Source organism: Homo sapiens, chromosome 2 (genome assembly GCF_000001405.40).
Source record: "Homo sapiens chromosome 2, GRCh38.p14 Primary Assembly".
Taxonomy (NCBI): domain Eukaryota; kingdom Metazoa; phylum Chordata; class Mammalia; order Primates; family Hominidae; genus Homo; species Homo sapiens.
This window is the reverse complement of record NC_000002.12, coordinates 236,943,326-236,967,179: the sequence shown is the minus strand read 5'-3', so window position 1 is coordinate 236,967,179 and position 23,854 is coordinate 236,943,326. Positions and strand designations below refer to the sequence as shown.

General features: G+C 45.0%; 1 long non-coding RNA gene across 7 annotated transcripts in view, besides 1 other annotated feature; it reads left to right on the top strand.

The window, feature by feature from the left end:
- COPS8-DT (COPS8 divergent transcript) overlaps positions 1–23,854 on the top strand; it is a 175,051-nt gene that overhangs the window by 118,642 nt on the left and 32,555 nt on the right. For 2 of the 7 annotated variants that reach the window (NR_187934.1, NR_187937.1), the window contains exon 2: positions 13,197–14,559. The exons of 1 other annotated variant lie outside the window; for it this stretch is intronic. This is a non-coding gene — a long non-coding RNA (COPS8 divergent transcript). Of the gene's footprint in view, positions 1–13,196; positions 16,113–23,854 lie in introns of those variants that run through there. 4 more of the 7 variants (NR_187936.1, NR_187935.1, NR_186114.3 and 1 more) reach the window with 2 other exon arrangements.
- Positions 1,087–1,588: an enhancer, noted in NCBI's record as "NANOG hESC enhancer chr2:237874235-237874736 (GRCh37/hg19 assembly coordinates)". NCBI's record gives its function as "activates a minimal SCP1, AML or CMV promoter by ChIP-STARR-seq in primed H9 embryonic stem cells {active_cell/tissue: H9 hESC(primed)}" and the evidence as "EXISTENCE:reporter gene assay evidence [ECO:0000049][PMID:30033119]".

Here is a 23,854-nt window from a genome sequence, read left to right as displayed (position 1 = left end):
GAGGCATGAATAATCCACCCCTTGTTTGGCATATCATCAAGAAATAACCATAAAAATGGGCAACCAGCAGCCTTCGGGGCTGCTCTGTCTATGAAGTAGCCATTCTTTTATTCCTTAACTTTCTTAATAAACTTGCTTTCACTTTACTGTATGGACTTGCCCTGAATTCTTTCTTGCTGGAGATCCAAGAACCCTCTCTTGGGGTCTGGATCGAGACCGCCTTTCCTGCAACACAGCCACCAAAAATTCCAAGCTCAGGGACCATCAGCCCCACCCCTCCAAGCACAGGTCCACACAAGCAACATCACTCCTCTTACACGTGGGAGGAGCATCTTGGAACAAACTCCAGGCAGAGAGGGCGTGCATCTCAGAAATAGTGTTTTGATTTTCTCCAGTAAAGAGGCAAAACATTTTTTTGAAATTATCAGATGGAATTGATTATTAAAATAGAATGAACATTGAATTATTTTTCCCCAAAACCAGTGAATGGTGACTTGAAGGGTAGGTTAGTAATAATTCACCCTACTTACAGGTCATAATATGAGTTGAATTTCTTTATGTCACTGCTTTTGCTTTAATTGGTGGCCATCTCTCTAGGGGCCTGACCAACCATTAACCAATATTCCTGATGTCCTGTGATAGCAAATGTTGATGGGAATTTGAAGGATGGTCAATCATCATCTGCTGTCTAGTTTTTTGTTTTTTGTTTTTTTTAACAGTTTGTTAACTGTTTTTTTAACAGTCTCAGACAGAGCATTTTATCCTAAAAAAATGGGGAGCAGGTACCACATGTGACCAGCCTCAGCTCTGGAGGAACCCCAGAGAAAGAGACGGATGCCTATCTGTTCCTGACCCCCAAGGTCCCTCAGGATCTGCTGGGAGGGGTTAGTTGTGAGATGTAGCCCCAAGACTGCACAACTTAACCTGTGAAAGCATTTATTTAGAATTGAGCATTTGCATTTTGGGAGATGACTGCAAACACAGCTGTTTTCTTTTTTATGCAATTAAGATTGAGGCATCCTTAGTGACAATGGGTACCAGACTGGATGCCTATTGAAGCCACCCCTCCAATTGTAAAAAGGTATCCTCAGTGAGGAGGTGGTACTCACCTTCCTCTTGACTGCAAGCATTGACCTAAAAGTTCTGTCGGATCACAAAGGCCCAAGTTATGGGGAAACAGTAAGATACAATGGCCTCTGAACTGTGAAAGACTTTTCTTTCTAGCCTCTTTTTAGAGATGCATTTAAAGACAGCTTTGTGGGATCCAGCATTCATTCATTCATTCATTCATTCATTCATTCAAATGCAATGTTTATTGAGTTGCTACTGTATGCAGATCCTCACTGGGATCTGTGCTGAGCTTGAACAATGGGCTGCTTTCACATTCCAAGATCTCCCTTCACAATCCCCACAGGAAATACGAATATTCCACATTTGGGGTCTTTTCTTTTCTCTGGGAGTGCTGGGATCATGCTGTCAGTGTGTCTCCCATCTAGGTGGCTGCGTCTCAAACTTCTGTGATCCTTTTTTAAGATGTGAGAACAGGTGTTGTTTGTACAGCATTCGTGCCCGCTGGCAATGAGTCCTCATCAGCAGGTTACCTTGGGAAGGGGAGGATGCCAGGTCAAAAACACGGCCTCAGGTGCAGCCATCCCTGCAAGACAGTTCTCTCCAACCAGCATGGCTAACCGATGAGCCAGAGACACAGGGGTTGAAGGGGTCCAGCCTCTCCTACACTCCTAACAACGCTCTCTTTTTCCTAAGAACTTGAAGATGGAGCAAGAGATGCACAGGTGGCAGGGAAGGGACTGGGATGAACCGTACACCCACTGCCTGTGCAGTTTTTCTTAAATTAAACCTTTTACTTTGAGATAATGGAAGATTCCCATGCAATTGTAAGAAGTACTGTAGAGAGAGCCGAGGTACTCTTCGCCCAGTTTCCCCGCGTGGTATCATCTTGCATACCTATCCTACAGTGTCACAGCCAGGTAATTCCCCCATGCAGTTTTGTCTAGCAGACGTGATGAGCTTTCCTGAAGGCCTTTGTCCTGCCATACTTCTGGTTCCTATGGGCCTAACCCCTTCCTGTTCCTGGGTTTTCCTGCCAAGCTCAGATCTTTAATTCTTTTCTATTTCCCTACTTTTCCACTATGGATTCATTTTGGAAATTATAATGCTTAGTGACCACAAAAAAAGTTAAGCCAATGAGCCAGACAACCCTCGGTTGCCTTATACTTTTAATAAAAGACATAGTTCTGAAATTTTACTGGTCTTTTGCAGGTCATACTATCTTGCATTTGATAGGAACAATTTTATGGATAATTTCAGAGCTTATAGTCCAATAAAGATAGGGCAAAACATTTTAAGTTGCTTTTCAAATCCGTGATAAAGTGACAGTCAAGAAGAGCTGTACTGATGGTGTTGTATTGAACTTCTTGGGGTGGCCCTAGAGGAAGTCAAATAACATTACCCTGAGCCATCTGCTCAGTTTGATTCTCAGAGGATCTTCTTCAGTCTTGCTCAGACTGTGCTAAGAACAAACAGGGTGACTTTATTTTCTATCATACATATGCTGTCCAGAAGGATGGATGCCTTGTCCTGCCCCGTGATACCAACAGGCAGAGAGAGCCGTGCTGCTTGCCACATGTTTTGGAATCTCTTCCCCCAGCTGCAAGTGTTTCATAACATCTATTGACCTCTTCTGAGAATAAACACCCACTAGAGTTGGCTACGTCTCCTCTGAAAGAGGTATCCACCCCACGGTGTAATCCCACTTCGACAATAGGCTGTGCACAAACTCTGCAGTGTGCTTGAGGCATTTGTTGCCTGAGCCACATTAAGCCCAATGGGTTTTAATAGATCAATGTACACTGATGTGTCCCAAATAGAGGTGTGCCAGCCTCACACCCTGAAGGGGAGGAAGGTGCTGGACATCAAAAGAACCTACACGTGGCTGTCAAAGTGCACAATTCCTTCTATTTGTTCCAGAGATAGCTGAACAGATTTTTCCTACCATACCTTGCATTTCAAACCAGCTCTTGACATGGCTGAAAGATAAAGTGCATGAAAGAAAAGACAATGAATCTGAACTCTCACTCTGCTGTCATGAATGATGTCACACTAGCCTAAGAGCACGCTCAGGGCCCCTGGAAGTGGGAGAGCTCAGGAAGGCGAGCGCAGAGGGGAGCAGCCTGGGTCCATCCCACATGTCCCAGAGGCACAGGAGGACACCAACTGTGCAGGGATCAGAGGCCAGGGAGCCCATCAGGGTGAGGTGATGTGCTGGGGTGGGCCTCGCCTTAGCTGAGAATGCAGATGGGAATTAAGATGCATTGTGGCAATACAAAGAAAACATAAATGTGGCCCTGGACCCAGGGAAGATGACACTCACAGCCCCCTATGCAGGTCGAATACAGGTGGCATTGGGCCTCCAGACCTGGCCCCAAGGAAGGCAGAGAGAAAAGTCATCACCCAGCGTCCCTGGGGGTGCTGAAACAAGGAGACTTCACCCTGGCCCTCGTGGGGCAAAGGCCCTTGAGATGGAGATGTGCTTGTGGGCACTGAGCCGGGCTAACATCAGAGGCCTGTGTGTGCTGGGGTTTCCCTTCCCAAGGGGCACTCTCAGGTTTGAACCGAAAATCTCAGGAATCCTACGATAAAATGGTGCTGCTCTCAGACTACCCAGACAGTTTAGTCAGGATCTTCTAGCACATTTGTCTTGAGGGTTCGTGTAAGGTTTGATGACTCTCTTGCTTACAGGACAAGTTAGGATCCTGTAAATAAATAAATATATATATATATATGCCTATGCAGCTTTGCAGCCAATAACGGGGAAGTTCTCTTCTGACCTCAGGAATTGTTATGGGCTGAACTGTGTCCCCTCCAAAATTCACATGTTGAAGTCCTAACCCCTCAATACTTTGGAATGTGGCTGTGTTTGGGGATAGGGTCTTTACAGGAATAACTAAGCTAAAACGAGGCTGTTAGGATGGGCCCTAATCCAATGTGACTGGTGTGCTTATAAGAGGAGATGAGGACACGAACACACAAAGGAAAGGCCATATGAAGCCACAGGAAGAAGGTGGCATCTACAAGCCAAGAAGAGAGGCCTCAGGAGAAACCAGCCCTGCTAATGCCTTGCTCTCAGACTTCCAGCCTCCAGAATTGTGACAAAATCAGTGTCTGTTGTGTAAGCCACCCAGTCTGCGGAATCTGGTGATGACAGCCTAGCAAACTGATACAGGAGTGGTCTCTTGTTCCCAAGTTTGGGCTGGGAGAAGCTTTGTGAGCCTCAGAAAATCCAACCCAACGGTTTTTGATATTGACCTCAATTCTTCATATTTAAAACCCCTCTCTCCCAGCAGTCATAGCATCCACTGGACTGACCCGTGATGAAGTGTCCTTCTCCTGTGATCTGTGCTGTCTGTTCTAGAACCAGAACCCAGACACTTCAGGGGCAACTGAGCAGACCATCTCCTGCTCCTCCTAGGTGCTGGAAAATGGTATAGTGACAGCAAAGAGTTATTACCCCCGATCATGCAAAGGCTGTTACCACAATAGTTTATTCAGGTTTTGGCTTTCGGTTAGTAGACGACAATGTGAAGAGTGAGTGCAAGACATTAATATACCCGGTTAAAAAAACTATAAAATAAAAATCACTATATTGGCTGGGCATGGTGGCTCACACCTGTAATCCCAGCACTTTGGGAGGCTGAGGCAGGCGGATCACGAGGTCAGGAGTTTGAGACCAGCCTGACCAACATGGTGAAACCTCGTCTCTACTAAAACTACAAAAATTAGCTGGGCATGGTGGCACATGCCTGTAATCCCAGCTACTCAGGGGCTGAGGCAGGTTCTCACTTGAACCTGGGAGGCTGATGTTGCAGTGAGCTGAGATCGCATCACTGCACTCCAGCCTGGGCAAGAGAGCGAGGCTCCATCTCAAAAAAAAAAAAAAAAAAATTACTGTCTCATCGAATGGAAATATCCTGTAGTGCATTGAACCTTTGGCCAGAGAAAGTCTTTAGGGCTTTTGAGTACCTGTTTAAAAGGCCTGGATAGCCAGCAAAGCTTTGGACCTACAGACTCTGATGTCAAGTAGAAAAGAAGGCTCAGGGAATTATTCCCTGAGCTGGTCTAAGAGTTTCTGATGGCCAACCCTCCCACCATCCCCAGGTCACGAGCCAGGTGGAATTCTGACGGCACACCTTAGTCTTTGTGAGAAAAAAAGAAACTGCTTTTTTACTTTAATGTTTGGTAATTCTAAAAGAAAAATATGCTAATGACCCAAGGGAACCTTAAAGAGAAGAATATATTCACATCGAATGCTTTTTTGTGTGTGTATTTCTTTCCAGTTATTGTTCAAGTGTATTCATAATTGTATAGTCAGCGTAATGGAATAATACACTATTTCTTATCCTTTTTCCTGTCTTTATTTTAAATCATTACTCTTCGGACAAAACCCAGGAATTATTTTATTGGGTCAACAAGTATAAGCATATTGCTAAATTTCCACTAAGAAATTCCACTTAGCACATTGCTAAGTTTCCACCACCAGAAGGGTCATCTTATCAGTGGAACCACATTCTCATTCTCACTAAGTAATTAAATTTTTAAGTCCTATTTTTTAGAAGTGAAAGTTTATTCTTAATTTTTTAAGAATTTTCATGTAAAAATTCTTAAAAGGACAAAAATACTCTTCCAAATTTGTTTGGTAATTGTAGGTCCTTCTGTACAAATTATTTATCACATCCTTTCCCTATTTGCCTACTGAGATTTTGATATTTTTCTTACCAGTTGAAATGAGTATTCTATATTCATACCGGCTTTTTCAGATTGGTGAAATGGTTCTCCCAGTCTGTTATTTTTTCTTTTTTCTTTTAATGTTAGTTATAAAATGTTGATGTTGTTAAATCTGTTGAACATTTCATTGACTTTTGTCTTTTACTTCTGTCTTCAGAAAGTCCTCTCCCTTGGGTGGTTCTGGTGAACACCCCCGCCACCGCCCGGGTCAGGGCTCCCCCACTATCTTCCTCTTCACTTCCTTGCTACACCTGCTGGGCTGGGCCCCTTTCCTTATCCTTTGGCCAAGGTTGTCCAATTTAGCGAATAAAATGGTAAGATAGTCAGTTATATTTGGATGTCAGATAAATAGCAAATAACTTTTAGAACAAGCATGCCCCCTGCAATATTTGAGACATACACTAAAAAAATAATAATAATAACGTTGCTTATTGGCATTCAAATGTAACTGGGTGTCCTGTATTTTATCTGGCAACTCTATCATTGGGTCCCATCTTCCACCGAGTCGAGTGGAGTCTTTCCAGGCACGGATTCAACATGACTTCCCAATCCCCCAGTGGGCAAGCGGTTTGCACAGGACACAGTGGGTGAGGCTCCTGAGTGGTTCGCCCGCCCCAGCCGCATGGGCGGGTCCGCACACCAGGCCTGAGTCTACCGTGGCGCTGTGGGGACGAGGGCCTCACTGGTGCAATCTGCAGTTTCAGCATCTGTAGAGTCAGCTCAGGCTGCCGTAATGAAGCACTGTAGACTGTGTGGCTCCAACAACAGACATTTATTCTCTCCAGGATTCTGCAGGCTGCAAGTCTGAGATCAAGAATGTGACAGGGTGGGTTTCTCTCGAGGCCTCTCTCCTGGGTTTGTAGATGGCCGACCTCCCTGTGTCTTCACATGATCATCCCTCTCCACCTGTGTCCAAATTTCCTCTTAGTGGGTCCAGCCCAATGGCCTGATTTAACTTCAGTTCCCTCTTTGAACGCCTTGTCTACAAATACAGTCGCGTGGGAGGTATTGAGCTTAGGCCTTCAACACGTGAATTTTGAGGGGGACACTCTTCAGCCCATGGCAGCGTCTTCCACTCCTGCAGTTATTGGTCCCCTTGTTCTCCCACTTGACAGCACTGTGTGTCTGCGGCCTCTGAGATCTCACTTTCCCGCTGCGATTGGAGCTGCACACACGACCCTGATGGTTCTTTGGACATCCCGACTTCACCAAGACCTTCTCCCCCAGGCTCGACTCCAGCTGTCCTTGGTGGAGCTTCCATGGGTGGGGACCTGTCTACTGTGGATAGATTACCCAACAGTGGCCAACACCCTGTTGCACTTCCAAATTGGACTAGTGCCTGGAAACTTCTGCTCCACTGCCTCAGCCTACCAGGCCTGCCTGATCCCACCCGCTGTCTGAATCACTCTAGAATTGGCCTCTGGGCCTTTGGTTCCCGGGTCTTGGACCCCTGGCCGTCTTTCCCAGGCTCTGCCCACACACAGGCCACTCACCTCCACAGTGTCTGATGCCCCCACCTTCTCCTCCTTCTCCGCAGGCCTGTTTTTCCTGGAACCAGCAGGACTCCCATCCAGGTCCACTCAAGTTGTGACACTGCTTGGCTTACTGTAAGCTTTTCTGCTTTTTAGTTTTTAAAATAGTTTGATTTACTCCATCTAGATCTTACTTTGTCAGATGACCTATGGTGTGGGTTTAACTCATCGAGATACATTTCTGCATTTTACAAGTCATTATAAGGACATATGTCATTTATTAAATATCTATTTCCTTCTCCATGGCTTTCCTGATACCTGTTCAATAACATATAGCATTCCCTACCTGTAATCTATGCTGTAAGGAGGTCATAGCCTCTAGCCACATGTGGCTATTAAATATGTGGATAGTACAAATTTCAAAACTTGGTACAAAAAAAGAATGTAAAGTATTGTGTGAATATTAAATAATTTTTTTCAAGGCCTGGCGCCATGGCTTTACAACTATAAATCCCAGCACTTTGGGAGGCCAAGGTGGAAAGATTGCTTGAGCTCAGGAGTTTGAGACCAGCCTGGGCCTGGCAAAACCTTGTCTCTGCCAAAAATACAAAAATTACCTGGGTGTGATGGTGTGTGCCTGTGGACCTATACTCGGGAGGCTGAAGTGGGAGGATCACTTGAGCTCAAGAAGTCAAGGCTGCAGTGAGCCGTGATCGCGCCACTGCACTCCAGCATGGGTGACAGAGTAAGACCTTGTCTCAAAAAATAAAATAAATAATTTTTTCAATTGATCACATGTTAAAATGATGTCATTTTGATATATTAGGTTAAATCAAATATATTATTAAAATTATTTATTTTTACTGTTGTTAAATGCAGCTACTAGAAAATGTCAAGTTCCACATGTGACTGTCTGTATTTCTGTATATGATTGTCTTTAGCTCAAGGTTTCTTCATTGCATTCCTTTAGTCTCTCTCTGTCATATTTTAAGCCAATATTCTAAGGTTTTAATGAATGTTCTTCTTAAAATATATTTTAATATTTGCTGGGACTGCAAACTTCTTCCCTCTTAACTCTTACTTTTCAAGCAATCTTTTTGGAAGTCTATGTCAATTGTTCTTTCAGGTGAATTTCAAAATTATTTTTGCCAAATTCATAAAAAGTCTATTTGGACTATTCATCTGTACATCTAGAAATAGTTTTCCTTTCTCAAATGGATGTCTTTTATGACTTCCTATAGACCTTGGAGGTTTTATTTACATTCTGCACATTTTCTCAAAATCACTTCTATGTTTATAATATTTTTGATACTATTGTGAATAAGATCAATACTCAGGTGCTATTGGTTTTTCCATATTTGTCTTTTAAAGTCACTTAAGCTGCTTTGAAATAATTGTATATTTTCAATTATTGTTATCTGTGAAGAGTATTTTTCTCCTTTTACCGTATGCATTCATTTTATTTGGTTTCCTCTATAGTTACAATGTTACAATGACCAAGGCCCCCAAACCTTAATAAATAATTATGGTGGTAGTGGGCTTTGTTCCTGAAAATAATTTGCTAATATTACTTTTTGGAATATTTACTCTTAAACTTGGCAATGCTTTTTCTTGGCTTTGACTGCCTTCAAGGACAGCCATTAGAGAGGCATTTTCCCTTTCCAAGTAAAATAAGCAGTCTAGAAAACAGAATTTCCTTCTGGCCTTTTGCAACCCACCCACTATAAAAATAAAACAAAACCATTATGTTTTTGGTTTTGAAGCATATTTTCGTAGGGTGACATGCCAGATTACAAACAATCCATAACGCTTTGCAAAAATGTCAGTGGATAGAAGAGCAGTTAGGTCTTCTTTTCTCTGGAATCAAGCTCAAGAAATGTGAGTTAGGGTCAAGCTTTGTGTTAGGGTTAGATTCAGAGGTAGGGTTAAGCCTAGAAAAACCTGGTTTCAAAGTATTCTTGTATTGCATGTCAGTTTTAAAACTCTCTTGAAAACAAAACCACAAACACACTTTTAAATAACTTGAATTAAAGATGAAGTTAAATTGACATTACAAATGCCTTAGAAATGAAGGATGATGAGAGACGTATACATCCAAGTCCGTTAGATGGAGATTCAGAGAAAAACATGGCCTTAAATTCATGTATTAGAAATTACTAACAAATGGAAAATAAATGAACTAAGCTACCAAAAAAATTAAATAAAATCCCTGTAACAAATGTTTTACATTACTAAGTCCTCAAAACATCATTTAGAGGTGTCTTATGTTTTGCATTAACAGATAAAGAAGCTACTAGGATACTTTTTAGAGAAAATGACAGGCTTAGAATTTTCATAGGATAAGCTACAGGAGCAAGCAGGTATCTCTAGCTCTTACACAAAGACAAAAGATGGAAATACTGTTGAGTTTGCCGTTAGCCAGGACTAACGTGACTCCTGGCTCCTCTAGACAGAGGGACTGCTGACCCTGCACATGCAGGGCTGGGGGTAGCTGGATACTGTCCCATTCCTGAGCCTTGGGGAAGTGCATCCTGGTTATGTCTGGAGCTGAAGCAGACAAAACTGGGTGATGAGAAGCATCTTCCTTGTTCTTCAAGGCTTTGTCTGATGAAGATCCAGTGTGGAATCTTTGGCTTAGTCTGGGATTTCTGGGCTGTGAAAGTTCTGGATATGTCTCCGTCCTGAGAAGCATGCTCAGCGTGGCTTGTCATAGACACCGTACACTCTGAAACTGACAAGACATTTTCAGATGCAGCCTCCCTTAAGGGAGTGTCCCTGGGACGGCATTCTGTTCCATAAAATAGTGACCCTATTCCTTGGCTAACGGTCTCTAGGAATTGATATAGTGGAAGGGACATCTTGGTAGGGACCGATTCCAGGAAGATTCTTCTTCTCCCAGCACTCTGCATCATTCTTGCCATTCCTTAAACTGCCCTCCAAGATCCAGCCCCCACCCCAAGTGGATCTCTGTTTTTTACATAGTAGCTCCAGCAGGGCCAAGATGCAGCCCCTCAGGGACTGGTGGATGGATGCATGGGAGCTCTGTGAATGGGGATCTGGGCATGTGAAATGCTGAAATTGAGTTAGGAGAGATTGGTTTGCTGGAGATAATGGCTGTGAAAGGAAAAGGGAGGAGGAAGGATGGAATGGGAGGGGCCATCACACAGTGGTGGACCTGACAGAGCCTCCACCTCCCCAACAGTAAGCTTGGAGTGAAGCTTCCTTGTTCAAAGACTCCCGTGTCAGGTGGAGGTGGCCAGGAAGTCTTGCTCAGTCACCAACTGAAGCCACCCCAAGAATAATATGATCTTAGCTTCAAAGCTGAGGGTGATTTATGAGCTGTCATCTTCATTTGGAGGCTGTTGGCTAACCACACTCCTCACAGCGTGAAGGGGAATCTGAGCTCCCCACACATCTCTGTGCCTGCCACACCCAGTGTGGACTATTGATTACCTCTCTGTAGTCTTGTCAGACACAGATAATATCTTGCTTCTACTGTCGTCAAGCCAAGCTAATCCACAGTTCTAGTAGGAAGATTCCTAACCTCTTAGCACGTTATCTATACTGGGATCCGGTTCCATTTTGAAACAAGAAACCCTATCACTTGCCCCTTTTTGACTCACCACTTAGTGGGGTGATGCTGTGGGAAGACCCCTCTTTCTGACCTCTGGGGCATCCCAGCTGTGTGGGGCCCTCAAGCAGGGTAGAAGCTGTTTCACGGAAGTCTGGGTTTCCTCACCCATTGGGAGTTAAGATTTAATTATCTTTAGAGTAAACCTCCTTCCACCACACTAGGCTGAGAAGAAGTGATAATGTGTTATCTCTTCTGCTAAGCCCTTTTTAAACACGGGCATCATTCAGCTGATCCGAGACAAGATAAAAGAGGGACACTTTGAAAATGGTAATGAATCCAAACAAGAATTCTTGGATGAATCATTTCTGCTCTGGTTTGTATTAGCTACGCAATTAAAGGGTTTACACAAGGGGACCCTCAAAGGGGAATTCTTTAACCACATGAAAGGCGGAAAGGTCGACTCCTAAGAGAAGGCATTCCTGAGCTTTTCTTGACTATTTTTCCCAGACCTTGGAAAAGGCCTGTGCTTTTCAAAGGAGAGGTCACTTGGAGGGAAGACAATCAGAGGCAGGCTGCAGGGGACAGTCCTTCCCAAAGCAAACGGCTTCCTCCTTTTCCCAGTCCTTGAAGCTCAAATCTGCCTTTTGCAGAGCAGAGGGAACGGGGAGCCAGATGGTCGTTCTGAGAGGACTACAGTGAGAAAGGATGACCCAGGGTGTTACTGGTGGTGAATCCACATGGTCTGGAGCAACATCAATTCTTGCCTCCTCAGAATAAAGAATTTGACTAAAGGGGCATAAGGCAGAAGGAGAGACTGAGGCAAGTTTTAGAGCAGGAGTGAAAGTTTATTAGAAAGCTTTAGAGCAGGAAGGAAAGGGAGGAAAGTACTCTTGGAAGAGGGCCAAGCAGGTGACTTGAGAGATCAAGTGCACTGTTGATCTTTGACGGGGTTTTATACGTTGGCATGCTTCTGGGGTCTTGCATCCCTTCTCCCCTGATTCTTCCCTTGGGGTGGGCTGTCTGCATGCACAGTGGCCTGCCAGCACTTGGGAGGGAGCATGCACAGTGTGTTCACTGGAGTTGTGCGCATGCTCACTTGAGACGCTCTTCCCTTACCAGTCAAATGTCCCCGGAAGGTCATAGACCAGTTAACTCCACCATTTTGCCTCTTAAGGCGCATGGTTGAGCCCACTCGCCCAACTCTTGAGATATTATCAAGAAGCTGCTGATCACCAGTTTCCGGTGTTTTCATCTGTTAGGAGACTGTCTTTCTCTGGCATTGGCTGTGATAAATTATTATTTTAGAGAGACAGCATAACAACTGCCTGTCCATCACCTGAAGGTTGCCTGACATTCCTGGTGTGTGTGTGGAGGGCAGCCGTCTCCCGCCCTGCTCATGCCTAACTCCCCACTGGAACAGGGAAACTCCCCAGGTCTCCCTGTCCTCTGGGACCAGGTAAGACTGCCAATTCCGAACATGGTGGCAGGAGCTTGCTTACTCCATCCAGGTTCTAGGCACAGCCTCAGAAGAAGGAGGGAAAGATGTCCCCCACCACCCAAGCTGGGGGCACTCCAAGACAGTCCTTCTGCACCCCAGCCCTGCAGCTAAGCTCCTGTACCTGCTGCTTCCACCTCTAAGATGTTCTCATCTCACATGGACCCTGAGGGGTTGGGGTAGGACCAAGGAGAGGAGAAAGCTCCAGAGCCCCTCAAGGTCAAGTCTACCCTTTTCATGTTTCTCCTCCAGGATTTCATACAGTGCCCAGCACAAAGTAGATGTCCAGTGTGTATATCTTAAAAGGACCCTTAGAAGGTTCTCGGAGAAAAAAAAGGTCCTTTTGTGATCTTCCTTTTCTTAAGGTGACAAACTCCAAATTCATGCTGTAAAAAGCCTGAAATCAAACAACCATGTCTCCTTTTTCCTTTGCATACTTAAGAGGTGAAATGAACTGCAGGGTGGCCTCCCAGGACCTGCCATCCCAACCTCCTTGTGTCAATTCAGCAGCTGTGGAGTTTTGGGAAGAGCAACTCCATCCCCAATTCCTTGACTGGACAAGCCTATTCCCAGTACAGTGGATAGGGCAGGTCAATTAGGCCTTGGCTAATCAGAGCCTGCCTTTCTCTGGGATATGGGGTTGGTTCAGGAGTGTTCCAATTGACTCAAATCTTATGGAGGTGAATGAGGACACGTGTAGACTTGGTGACTGCTGCCATCTTCCAATCGTGGATGTCGGAGGTGGCAAGTACAGAGAGATGGGCAGGGCTGAGAAAATGGCAAAGAAATAGAGACAGAGTTAAGATCAAATATTGCCTAAATGTCACACCCATCTCTGTTTTCTTTTTTTTAGGTGCCATGATAAATAAGCCAGTTTGAGTCACTTGGTCTAATATCGAGACCACGAACATATTGATCACAGAATGTGTTAGGTAAGCATGTTGTTGACTGAAGTGTAAGTAAGGTGCTCACCTTAAATGCATGTGCCAACATCAGCATCTTCAGAAGAGTCTCTTTCCCTTTGGGACATCGAGGTGACTGACAGTTAAACAAGCCGTATTTGGAGTAGGTGTACAATCAGCCTCCTTCCAGTTCTCCTTGGCACTTTCCAGTTCACAAAGGACACTTCACTCCTTTTTGGTTTTTTTGAGACAGGGTCTCACTCTGTCACCCAGGCTAGAGTACGGTGGTGAGATCACCCCTCACTGCAACCTCCGTCTCCTGGGCTCAAGTGATCCTCCCACCTCAGCCTCCCAAGTAGCTGGTACCACAGGTGCATGCCACCACACCTGGCTGATTTTTGTATTTTGTGTAGAAGGGGGTATTGCCCTATCGCCTAGGCTGGAAGGCTGTTAAGAGGAGAACTGAGCAATGAGGATCCCATCCTGGACTTCGCAGACTTGCTGTGCTTTTGAATGCTTCTCTCACGGTCAGAGCCTGCACTGGAAAAGATGGCATTTGGGACAACACACCTGGCTGCTGCCCCAGGAAGAAAGTAGTGAACACTGGAGGACTGTCAGCCCTGTCAGTTTCTGGAAATGTGCCCTGAGTTTAAGTTCTGGTTTCAGATTATGAGGAGCAAAATTACTGAGTAGGCCTCCTCCTAGAACAGGAAGCTCTTCCCGCTGTGGGCCAGTGGCTCTGACATATCACAGAGCCTGCTCTGATGAAGGCAGCAGGAATGATTTCAAAACAAGCAAAACCAAAGAAAACTGTTTGACAATGGAAGTAATAGAGGCTCATTTTAGAAAACATAGACATAAAGAAAAAAAGAAGAATCTTCCATAACCCACAGATTATAACTACTTACATACCTTCCAGGCTTTATTTCTCTTTTTTAAAAAACAAATGTTAAAGTGGAATTTACCTATAAAAAAGATACAGGTCCTAAGAGCACAGCTTGGCTTGATCAATTTTCTCAAGTTGAATGCACCTGTGCAATCAGTGCCAGGCTGAACACACAGCCTCAGCAGCGCCTGGAAGCTTTTCCAAGCCTCCTTATTGTCATCCCTCCCTCCCCAGGGGTAGCTGCGATCACTGTAGCTTTGGTCTGAACTATATATAAATGCAATCATGCCACGTTATGTTTCTGAGACTCACCCACACCCTGGCAAGCCATTGCAGTTTGTTTATTCTCAATGTTCTACAAGCAGCAGTCCCCAAGCTTTTTGGCACCGGGGACCAGTCTCATGGAGGACGATTTTTCCGCAGACCAGGTGGGGATGGTTTTGGAATGATTCAAGCACATTCCATTTATTGTGCACTTTATTTCTATTACTGTTGCATTGTAATATATAATGAAATAATTATATAACTCACCATAATGTAGAATCAGTGGGAACCCTGAGCTTGTTTTCCCCCATCTAGATGGTTTCATCTAGGGGTGGGGGGATGAAAGACAGTGACAGATTATCAGGTATTAGATTCTCATAAGAAGCTTGCAACCTGGATTCTTCGCATGCTTAGTTCACAGTAGGGTTCACGCTCCTATGAGAATCTAATGCTGCCACAGAACTGACAGGAGGCAGAGCTCAGATGGTAATGCTCACTTGCCCACTGCTCACCTCCTGCTGTGCAGCCCTGTTCCTTACAGGCCATGGACTGGTACCACACAACTATTTGGCCATAGCTACAAAAGCTGATTACAGGTGTAATTACAGATTACATCACTATTACATAGCCTACAAAGAGGTTTAATTGGACTTATAAGTCCACATGACTAGGGAAGCTTCACAATCATGGCGGAAGGCAAGGAGGAGCAAGTCACATCTTACATGGAGGGCAGCAGGCAAAGAGAGAGCTTGTGCAGGGAGACTCATTTTTCAAAACCATCAGATCTTGTGAGACTTATTCACTATCATAAGAACAGTGTGGGAATTACAAATTACATAGCTATGTAGTTACAAATTACATAGCTAATTACACCTGTAATCAACTTTTGTAGCTATGGCCAAATAGTTTTCCCAAGTGGTTGCACCAATTTACACTCCCACCAACAGTACATGATCCTGCTGGCAGCTCAATCTACATTCTTATTAACTGCATTAGTCCATTTTCACGTTGCTGATAAAGACATACCTGAGACTGGGCAATTTACAAAAGAAAGAGGTTTAATTGGACTCACAGTGTGTGACTGGGGAAGCCTCACAATCATGGTGGAAGGCAAGGAGGAGCAAGTCACGTCTTATGTGGATGGCAGCAGGCAAAGAGAGAGCTTGTGCAGGGAGACTACCATTTTTCAAAACCATCAGATCTTGTGAGACTTATTCACTCTCATGGAACAGCATGGGAAAGACCTGCCCCCACAATTCAATTACCTCGCACCAGGTACCTCCCACAACACATGGGAATTCAAGATGAGATTTGGGTGGGGACACAGCCAAACCATATCATCGACCCTTTGTTTTTCCCCATCTTTTTCATTTTAGCCATTCTTTTCATGTGTATTAGACATTTGGATAGCCTCATTTGTGAAATGTCTCATTTTTTCTACTAGGCTTTTCATCTCTTTATTGATCTAAAACATTTTTAATATATTAGACATATGTATTGCAAATCTCTTCTTCTACTGTGGAAGTGGCTTTCATTTCTATTCATTTCAGACTGTTTTAATGCTATCTTATTTCTTTCTTTATGATTCAGCACTCTTTGTGTCCTGCTTAAGAACTCTTTGTCTATTTCATGTTCATTAAAATGTGATTTTTTTCTACAGTCTTCATTATTTTTCCTTTAACATTTAAATTTATAATAAATCTGGGTGTGATTTTTATACAGTGCATTTTTCTTCCCAAGATATCCAGTTGTCTCAGCATCTTTCCAGTCTTTTGCTAAAAATATTTATACAATGTTATAATATGTTATGAATATATATGCATGTTTACTTATTAAGAAATATTAAATTCATATAGAATATTTTAATATTTCATTTAAAATTAATATTGACTAATTGTCAGTGAAATCTACCAAAACATTATTTTTAGTATCTGTATTATATCCCATTTTATGGAATTTAGCCATCCAAATGCTATTAGACATTAAAATTGTTGCCAGATTTTCACACGTAAGAAACCATCCCAACTACTCAGAAGGCTGAGGTAGGAGAATTGTGTGAACCCAGGAGGTGGAGGTTGCAGTGAGCTGAGATCACACCATCGCACTCCAGCCTGGGCAATAAGAGTGAAACTCCATTACAAAAAAAAAAAAAAAAAGAAAGAAAGAGAAAAAAGAAAAAAAAAACACCATTGTAAAAAGCTAGGTATAAATATTTCAATGAGTGTACTCAGGATAGATTCCTAGAAGAATTGATCCAAACGAACATCATAAGGCCTCTGATCATAATTGCCAAATTGCTTTCTGGGAGGTTTCTTAAAACTTAGAATTCTATAAAAACTGAGACTACTTTTCTTTCCCCATGTCACCACAGATTTGCTAACATTAATGATTATCATTAAAATCTTTAGACAATTATACAGAAAGTAAATTACATGTTGATGTGGAATTTGGTTTTCTTTCAAAATTAAATTGAAATGCTTTATGTTAACCATTTTTATTTCATCTGCAGAGAACAGTCTGTTTAATCATCACCTTTTACATTAAACACATTACCGTTCTTTTTATTGCTTTGTCTGAGCTTTATATAAAAGGTAGAAACCAGTCATGTTTAATATAGATTATTCCCAAATACACTGATTGTCTTTAAAAGTTGCCCACTTATATAGGAGTTTCATATTTTTATGTAGCTGAGCCTCTCAACCTTCATTTTATTATTTCTTCCATTACTTTTAATCTTAAATAGCTTGGATCAAGTATTGACTTCTATGGAACATTTTTGCATTTCATTCCTTTTTCTATCTGAACTTATTCTGCTACTTTGATGTAAGATATGGATGAATCTAAATTACATCTTCTCCCCATCCCCAGATACCTAGCTAGTTTTCCCAGCAGCTATTAGTATCTCCCAGTAGCCCAGGAATGCTGTGAATAACGCTGTGTCTTCTTAGCTGCTGCTGCTGCTAAGAATTCCTCTTAGGTGCAGAACCAACATTGGGAGAGTCCCCTGAGAATTGTCGTGTAAAAGATGAGCCACTGGAACGCAGCTCAACCCTGCAACAGAGGCCCCAGAGGAGGCAAGAGCTGCTCCGCCATTCCAATGAAGGAATCTACCGCTTTTGGGGAAAGTTAGGGAGAATGAGGAAGACGTGGTGGTGGTGGTGGGGGTGGGGCGGGGAGGCGGTGGTAAAGAGGAAGAATGGAAGAGTCAGAGACATGAAAAGACGCTGGACAAGCAGAAGCGTCAGTGAAGCTTGCTGGTCTTGGGGCAGTTACGTGGACAGCGCGGGTCAATGTTCGCAGGTGTTACTCAGTTCTTACTGCAATTCCTTACATTTTGGCTATGAAAACCCCTTCTGTCACACTTCTGTTTCCCCAGACTCCAGACTGTGCTCAAAAGGACTTTGCCTGAGTTTGCATGTGTTTTGTGAGGCTCCGAGAGGTGCAGCATTCACATGTGTGCTGTGTGCACACAGAGCAGAAGCCGGGCTGCGGGGGCTGCGGAGTTGTCCCTTGGGCTTGTAGGGGCCTTGGGCAGGGCTCAGGCTGTCGCAGGCCAGGGACTTCAGCATGAGGTGGAGCTAAGCCTGGCCCACATCCGGATTCATTTTGCTGGCCTTGTTGCTTTGCCATTCATTTTGGTTTCTTCTTTTATCACCAGGGCTGATATTTTGAGTTCTATTGGAAGTCTAAATATTGAGGCTTCTTGTATTAAAAATGCAGTCAGTTCTCTGTCTCTCTCTCTCCTTTTACTGTCTTCATCGTTTTTAGGTGCACATTTTAGTGTCATTAAGAACATTTACATTTTTGTGCAACCACACCACCGGATATCCAGAAATTTTTCATCTTCTCAAACTGAGACTCTGCACCCATTAAACACTAACTCCCGATTTACCCCTCTCCCCAACCCCTTGAAACCACCATTCTACTTAATAGCTCTATGAATTTGACTACTCTAGGGACCTCATATAAGTGGAATCATACAATATTCATATATTTGTGACTGGATTATTTCATTTGGCGTAATGTCCTCAAGGTTTATCCATGTTGCAGCATGTGTCAGAATTTCACTTATGTATTTATTTATTTATTTATTTATTTACTTACTTACTTACTGAGACGGAGTCTTGCTCCATCTCCCAGGCTGGAGTGCAGTGGCACAATCTCGGCTCACTGCAACCTCTGCCTCCCAGGTTCAAGCAATTCTCCTGCCTCAGCCTCCCAAGTAGCTGGGACTACAGGCGTGCATCACCATGCCCAGCTAATTTTTGTACTTTTAGTAAAGATGGGATTTCACCATATTGGCCAGGCTGGTCTCGAACTCCTGACCTCAGGTGATCTTCCCGACTTGGCCTCCCAGAGTACTGGGATTACAGGCATGAACCAATGCACCCGGCTTCATTCCTTTCCATTTTAATACTTAATAATGTTCCACTGTGTGGAGAGACCCCATGTCGTCCATCCATTCATCCATCCAGGGACACGTGGGTTGCTTCCAGCTTTTCTCTATTATAAATAACGCTGCTATCAGACCGCTCTTTGTATCCTTAAAATCAAAACAGCAGCCCACACTGGGGGGCTCATGGGGAGAAAACCACATGGCACTCCATACTGTGGGGTCTGTCCCGTGACTCTCAAGCCCTTGGGTCTCCTTCGAAAAGATGGACCTAGTCCCAGCGTGGGGGTCATTATGGAAGAGCACGATGACACAAAGGAATGCCGTGACTTGATACAGCCCCTCATCCCACCAGCATAGGAGGAGGCGAGAGGAGCCTGACCTGCCCTGCCCTCCTGCCTGAAAGCCGCACCCTGGCCTGGGTGAGCCCTAACCTAATCCTTTCACTCAGTTATTTCCAGAAATGTGAGGGCCCAGCTGACCCAGTCCCTCTCTTTGTATCTAGATTTTCTTTTTTCAGTGGGCTCCAAAGAGAGATAACTTTCCTAAAACACAGTACAGTGATGGTAGGAGAGACCGCCTACCCGAGCCAGGTGGCTTCCTTTCTCTCGGGTGCTTTCAGTGGAAAGGGGCCCACCTTGTGTTTTGTGAACATAGAATCCTCTAAGATTGTGGAAGTTAGCCTCTGAGATACAGAGCTTATTATACATGAGTCCTTCATTATTCTGGGTATATCAGACACAAATATAAATGAGAATCCCTGCCCTGGAGGAGATCACTGTGCACCACTGGGGAAACACACACAGTGAAATGATCAGTGTACATTGTGATAAAACCCCAGATGGAGTCACAAATAGCTTTGCACATGGTACAGCTTGGGCCTTTTGGCTGTAGTTTCAGAAAAGGGTATGACAAGGAACGTTACCTTAACAACTAGCCTCGTTTTCAAGATGAGCACATGAGGCCCAAGGAGATGAATTGATGATCTAAAAACATAAGCTGAGTCGTGGCAGACCCAGGGCCAGAATGCAGGCATCACTCCAGGTCTAGTCTCACCTGAACTAGGTGGCCCACTTCTGGGCTCCAGCTTAAAGGTGGTCTTGGGCTTGCTGGGTTTTGAAAAGAGAGGCTGAGCTGTGGAATTTCAGTTAGAAATCCCATTCTTCCTCTATCTCATTCCCTGCTGAAATGACACACTGTTTAACACTCACCCTTCCTGAAGCATGTGAATTCTATCTCATATCCTGCGGGACAATAGCTGGAGTGTGGCTGCAAGATTACCACGTGGTCAGTTTCCATAAACAACATCCATCAGCCTTGCTCCATCCTGCCATGTGGGGTTAGCACCAGCTGACCCCAGGGAAATTTGCTTATCAATCTGGGCTTGTAACATTCAACAGACAGGACTGTAGTTACATTCAGAAGTGTTCTTGCTCCGTGGGAATGTTCTCTGGTTTCTCACTGTGCCTGTGTCCTGTCTGAGGCCTTCCGATGGACATATGTGCTTCTACCTGCCTGGCATCCCTTCCCACTTCTCCTAGTAATAGGACCTTGATGTTCCTTTAGGGACCCACCGTCTCCCATTTCCACCACCACTCTGAATGCATCCAACATCCAAAACTGGGAACAGGGCCCAGACCAGACCAATTAGATTCTCTTGAACATTTGAACATCAAACTGAGGGGTTCAAGGTCAGAAATTGGCTGGGGCTTGTTTGCTGTGAGAACTGAGCCCTGAAGAGACCACCTGGCTACACAGTAGTTCTTGCACCCAGAGCCCCCTCCAGCTGCTTGGTTCTTAGCTGTCTTTCTATTTTGTGACAGATTCTATATTTTTTTCTATATAATACTATTTTGCTTCAATTAGCCAGAGTCTACGTCTGTTGTTTGCAACTGCAGAACCCTGACTGACCAGGGTTGAAACTGAGTAGGCAGATGAAGGGCTCCAGATGAGCGTCAACCAGGAAGGAGTGAAGGGAGAAGTTAAAGGGAGAGGAGTCGGCAATGGTGATGAAACCTCGGTCCAATGCCAGTGAGGAGCCCTAGACAGAATAGATCTCAAAGAAATAAAGAAGAGGTAGACAGGAGGGAATGGTTGTATGGCTTGTAAATGGAGCTCTGTCAAGGGATGGAGAGATTGAGTTATCGGTGGAAAGGTTCCTGGAGATGAGGGGTCGTGGAAATATGAGGCCCAGGAATTAAGGGCTCTGCCATCCTGCAGCTCAAAATCCCTAAGGAAGATGCTGGGAGAAGAAAACGATGACCCAGAAAGTGGAACTGTGGGAATTTGCCCAAAGTGGACCCTTGGCAGTCCTCATACAGTTACCACATGTGGACTAGATTAGGACATCTTTGAACTCACTTTCTCCAAGGGGTTTACTCTCCTGCACTTCGGTCCACATGGATAAGACTGCCCAGGGTACATGTCCAACTGGGAATTTACATGGCCGCAAGTACTGAGGGCAGATGTGTGCTCTGACTATGAGGGTACTTTTCGGAACAGAGTTCCTTGTGACCTCTCTCCTCCTCCCAGGATGAGGTAGGCCAGGCAGGCACATGCAAAGTCCTCACAGACTCATTTCCTCCCCTATATCCCCAGGGCTGAGCTATAGCTGGCTACAACGCAATTTGGCTTTATAATGAATGAAGTTCATATCCCAAGTGACAAGGCCTTTCCTAGCCCTGCTCTCTGGTGAAGTGTCCAGGGTTCTAAACGCTGACATCCATCCTTTCTTTCCTGCTTCCTGCCGTGGGCCCTTTTCCCACAGCTGGGTTGGAAACTATCCTGGCTCCCCAGGCACCCTGGGCAGGCTGGAGCTCCCCTTGCTTTGATTAATCCCCTGCCAAGGAATGACCCTAGCCCAGACCTTCAACCTCAGGCTCTGTTCCTCAATGGGCAATAGTACCTCTTTACTCTGGACTGCTGCCACCTACAGTATGTGAAATGGGGTTTTCCAACAATTATTTTAAAAGCAGTCCAGGAGAAATGCCAGTGAACCAGAAGTGTGGTTAAACTTACAGGAGAAATAGGTTTCTAACCATTTCTGGGTCATTGACCCCTTTGAAAATACTATGGAAGCTGTGAACACTTAAAAAATCACACAAATTGTTCCCCACAATTTCAGGGGGTTCCTGGAATCTCCTAATTGCACACGTTGACTGTATCCAAGGTTCAGAGCCACCTTCAGACCCATGAAGTCCCCCACCCTGTCCCCAGGGTTTCAAATGTGTCCCAACTCTCCTGCAGGAGGTGGCCAGAGTGTGCACCCACCTGCTGGACTCCAGAGTGTGCACCCACGTGCTGGGCCCCAGAGTGTGCACCTGTGTGCTGGACTCCAGAGTGTGCACCCATGTGCTGGGCTCCGGAGGCTGCCCCCAGATCCCTGAGTCTGTAATGTTTCAATGAAAGAGATTGAAGATCCCAAAGAGCTGTGAATGTCACGTGGGAATCATAGCAGATGGCGAGGGGGCCACTCTCCTATGTCACTTATCACCTCTAAGTGGGACCTCATATCCAGCCCCTGGCCCTGAGAAGAGCCCTCTACAGGCCTGTGGTGGCCGCCGTAGCCCGGGTGTGGGCTGGGACTGGGGCAGACCTGAATTTGAGCAAGAAGCTCCTCACAACTCTGACAAGTCCCCATCCTCTCATGTAAAGGAAAATGATCCTGAGCTGGAGGAGCCCTGGGACTCCAGCCTAGCACCATCATGCCCCAGAATCAATGACAGAGAAGAAGCATCCTTGGGCAGGGGCTCCAGGAATGCCTGGTCTCCCAAGAGGGTGGGCACTGGAGCATGGGGCGGGTTTGTTAGGAGCCCACCTGCCAGCATCACGTCTCTGCTGGCTCCTAATGTGGCTGCCAGTCACTCCTACAACCAGGAGATGGCTTGGGGTCAAGTCTGGGCTCTTCCAGGGACACAAGCCAGTGACCCATCTTCCACTCATCTCTCTGTTGCAGAACACCATATTTCCCACTGGAGCCAGGGCCCTGTAGTCCCCACTGAGCCAACCAGCCCCTACCTGCTCACTCCCAGCCCTCACAAACCCAGCACATCCTACGCTCACACCTCTGTCCCTTTCTCTTCATAACCCAGCACAACAATCAGCACGTGGAATTCTTACCTGCAGGACTTCTGTTCATACCTGTTCAGCTTCCATACCATCCCCTCCCCCAGCCCACACCAAGCAGGCAGGGGGCAGAGCCAGTTAGAGGAACCTGGGAGTGACTTCTGGCTCTTTCCTCTCTGCCTCACTCCCCTTTCCAACTTATCCTGCACACCACTGCCTCATGATATTGTACAGTGCAAATCAAGACCTGCCACTCTGGCTCAAAACCTTCCCCTGGCCAGACCCCTCTCTCCCACCACTACCCAGTTAATGTCTGAATGCCTTGAGCCAGCTTACAAGGCATCCATGAAATTGACCTTGTCCCACTGTCAGCACATCTGTCCTGCCCTCCTGTGACTCCCGGAGTCTTTGCTGCAGCCACCTCAAACCAGCTGTGTGTCCTGAGCATATTATTCTGGAATCCCATCCTCTTATCCTCTGTTCCTCCCCACCGTTCGGTAATCCTCCATCCATCCTCAGTCTACCCTGGAGGGTGGCCACTGATTGGGCCCCTTCTCTGACTCACCCACATAAGAGCAGGTGCTTCTGACTCTTGGCTGTCTGAGTGTCATCCCCAGGGGAGCCCTTTCATCCTGATGCTTGGCACTGGGAACCATCTGCTTTAAACTACAATATCATCTCATCTTTGAGATTGAATCTTTTCATTTTAGTGTCAAGAGGCACATTGTCCATGCCTAAAGTGCTCAACAAATGTTGGACAACTAGCTAATTAATTAATGGAAGTCATAGGAGTCTCTGGAGCAGGAAGGTGTGTAGGAAGGCACACAAGCTTGTAAGTCATGCCTCCATCTGGGTTGAGACTACTCTAACTCAAGTGTGACTTGGGGCTCGTTGTTTAACTTATCTGAGCCTCCATCTCTTCACGTGCTCAATGAATGAAGAACCTGCCTTACTTTGAGGTTCAAATGTGACAATGAGGTGCCCAGAACACTATTACATAG